This window comes from Homo sapiens, chromosome 21 (assembly GCF_000001405.40).
Source record: "Homo sapiens chromosome 21, GRCh38.p14 Primary Assembly".
Classification (NCBI taxonomy): Eukaryota; Metazoa; Chordata; class Mammalia; order Primates; family Hominidae; genus Homo; species Homo sapiens.
In genome coordinates this window covers 35,092,777-35,096,064 of record NC_000021.9, presented here as the reverse complement: position 1 = coordinate 35,096,064, position 3,288 = coordinate 35,092,777, and the positions used below count along the sequence as shown (strand labels likewise).

The 3,288-nt window shown below is 41.7% G+C and overlaps 1 annotated feature.

The window, feature by feature from the left end:
• Positions 1,874-2,030: a silencer, noted in NCBI's record as "fragment chr21:36466332-36466488 (GRCh37/hg19 assembly coordinates)". NCBI's record gives its function as "represses an EF-1alpha promoter that drives an FKBP-Casp9 reporter gene in an ReSE screen in phorbol 12-myristate 13-acetate-treated (for megakaryocytic differentiation) K562 erythroleukemia cells {active_cell/tissue: K562(+PMA)}" and the evidence as "EXISTENCE:reporter gene assay evidence [ECO:0000049][PMID:32094911]".

Below are 3,288 nucleotides of genomic sequence, written 5' to 3'. Positions count from 1 at the left end.
ACCTCACATTTCTACAGAAATTAGATAATAATCAGTACAGAACCAAGTTCAGGTTTTACACATTTTTTTCCACCACATCTCTGCATGAAAATACATCAGACTGAAAGGGATTGCATTCACTCAGCAAATATGTGCTAAGATCCTTCTGTGCCAGCTCTGAAGATGAAAAGGTATGCGACGTGGTGGTCTCACCCCTAAAAAACCAAACTGTCTGTCTAGTGAGGGAGACAGACACACAGCTAATTACATTCAGTGTGCTAAGTGCCTGTAAGGAATATGCCCACATTCTCATAGGAACCCAGAAGGAACTATTAATTATGCTTAGCGGAACCTTCTCAGAGGGAATAACATAGTAGTCTGAATTTTCAGGAGTAACATCTTAGTCCAGGATGCTATAGCAAAAGACCACAAACTGGGTAAATTTTAAACCCCAGAAATTTATTTATCATGGTTCTGGAGCCTGGAAAGTCCAAGATCAAGGCACCAGGATGTTTGTCTGGTGAGGGTTTATGTCCTGGTTCATAAATGGTGCCTTCTTGCTGTGTCTTCACATGGTCGAAGAAGCAAGGCTCTCTCTGGGATCTCTTTTAAGAGCACTAACTTCAGAGCTCTTCCTTCATGTCTTGGTGATATAGTTTGGATATTTGTTTCCTCCAAATCTCATGTTGAAATGTGATCCCTGATGTTGGAAGTGGGGCCTGGTAGGAGGTGTTTGCATCATGGGAGTGGATCCTTATAAATGGCTTAGCCCATCCCTTTGGTGATGACAGAGTTCACACAATATCTGGTTGTTCAAAAGTGTGTGGCATCTCCCTCCTCTCTCTTTTGCTCCTGCTCTCATGAGGTGACATGCTGCTCCCGCTTCATCTTCCACCATGAATAAAAGCTCTTTGAGGCCTCACCAGAAGCTGAGCCGATGCCAGCACCATGCTTCTGTACAGCCTGCAAAACCATAAGCCAATTAAACCTCTTTTCTTTATGAATTACCCAGCCTCAGGTATTTTTTATACCAACACAAGAACAGCCTAATACACCGAGTGTCTTCCCAAAGGCCCTGCCTCCTAATACCATCACCTTGAGACTTAGGATTTCAACACATGAATTTTGCAGGTACACAAGCATTCAGACCCTAGCAAGTAAATAGCAATTTCTAGGTAGAGAAGAGAAAAACTGTGTGTATGCGTGCATGTGTGTGTTTATGTGTGAATATGTGTAGGGGTCAGGTGGGCAGAGGGTGGGGGAAGAAGGTAGATGAAGCAAGAATAGCAAAGAAGCTTCACATGGTGTTGACATCACATGCCACACTTTGCTCTGAGCATACACTCCCTGCAGATATTTCTGCCCACAGCAGCAACCTGTGCTCTGACAATAGAAGGACTGTCTTAAACTCCTCCTGGTGGATAAGCCACTGGCCAACAAGATTGAGTCTACAAATGGCCTTTTCTTCACTTGGACATACCTTGACATTTCTTACACTGTTATCACTAAACATTCCCTTCTGGTGAGCAGTAGGCTCCTGTTGTATGATGCAAATCATAGATGTATGGAACTGCTATCTGGAGATAGAAAAACAGGAGTTGCAGATGACTCCTGCCATCGTGGAACTAAACCACAGTCTAGAAGAGGAGAGCAAGTTTATGTGGGTTATGCATTACACTAAAGGTAAGAGTATTTCATGGTAGGAGAAGGTGTGCAAAAGAACAATATAGTGGTTTATCTAGAGTTAGATTACTAAGGGCCTTTAGGGGCTTATAAAAAAATTAGACATGATGAATATTGCAAAAGAGAGACGCTAACAGGGGTTTTAAGATGTTATATCTGGCAGCAGTATTATGTCACTCAGAACTGCAGAATTGCTGAAAGAAGTGGACATTCAAGGGAAAGACCAGACTGCCCAGAGATGAGCATAAAGGAGTCACTCCAGCCTGAGATTGGAGGAGAAAAGGGAAACAATCTAGTTTATAGAGCCCATGGATTGGAACCACGGGGTAGAAGCAGCCCTGGCTAGAGCTGCCACTCAAGTGGAGAGAGAGGAAGAAATACCCAGCCAGTACCTTCTCTTCCCATCAAAACTTTAAACTTTTCTTTTTCAAAAGGCAACACAAGGAAATAGAAGGGGCCTGAACAATGGTTCATGCCTGTAATCTCAGAGCTTTGGGAGACAACGCAGGAGGATCACTTGAGGCCAGGAGTTCAAGACCAGCCTGATTAACATAGTGAGATCTCATCTCTACAAGAAGTTGAAAAATTAATCAAGTATCAAATGCCCATCGATGATAGACTGCATAAAGAAAATGTGGTACATATACACCATGGAATACTATGCAGCCATAAAAAGGAACAATGCATTAGCTATTTATCCTGTAGGGACATGGATGTCCCCAGATGGAGCAGGGACACGGATGGAGCTGGAAGCCATTATCCTCAACAAACTAACACAAGAACAGAAACTAAACACTGCATGTTCTCACTTATAAGTGCGAACTGAACAATGAGAACACATGGACACGGGGAGGGGAACAGCACACAGTGGGGCCTGTTGTGGGGGCAGAGGGAGGAAGAACATCAGGATAAATAGCTAATGCATGTGGGGCTTAATACTTAGGTGATGGGTTGATAGGTGCAGCAAACTACCATGGCACATGTTTACCTATGTAACAAACCTACCTGTCCTGCACAGGTATCCTGGAACTTTATTAAATTAAATTAAGTTAAATTAAATTAAATTAAAAAGAAACTACCTACATTAAAGTCATCTAGTTTTAGGGAAAAGGAGTTGAAAATGCAACCAACTCTTGGTGAAATGTACAAATAAATCTTTGTTATACTTTATTTCAAATAAATTCTTTTCAAATTAAAAAATTTTCACTGGGTATGGTAGTGCCTGCTTATAGTCCTACGTACTCAGGAAGCTGAGGCAGGAGGATCATGTTAACCCAGGAGGTTGAGGCTACAGTGAGCTCTGATCGTACCACTGCACTCCAGCCTGGAAAACAGAGCAAGACCCTATCTCTGAAGAGAAAGAGAGAGAGAGAGAGAGAGAGAGAGAGAGAGAGAGAAAAGAATATAGAAGGACATGCCACAGATTGAAAGAACATATTTTTAAATCACATCTTTGATACAAGAATTGTGTTCAGAATGTATAAGTAATTCTTACAGCTCATAATTAGAAGACAAATAGCCCAATTTAAAAATAGGCAAGAGATTTGAACAGACGTTTCACCAAAGAGGATGTGCAGGAACATAAAAAGATGATCAGGATCATTAGGAAAACACAAAATAAAACTA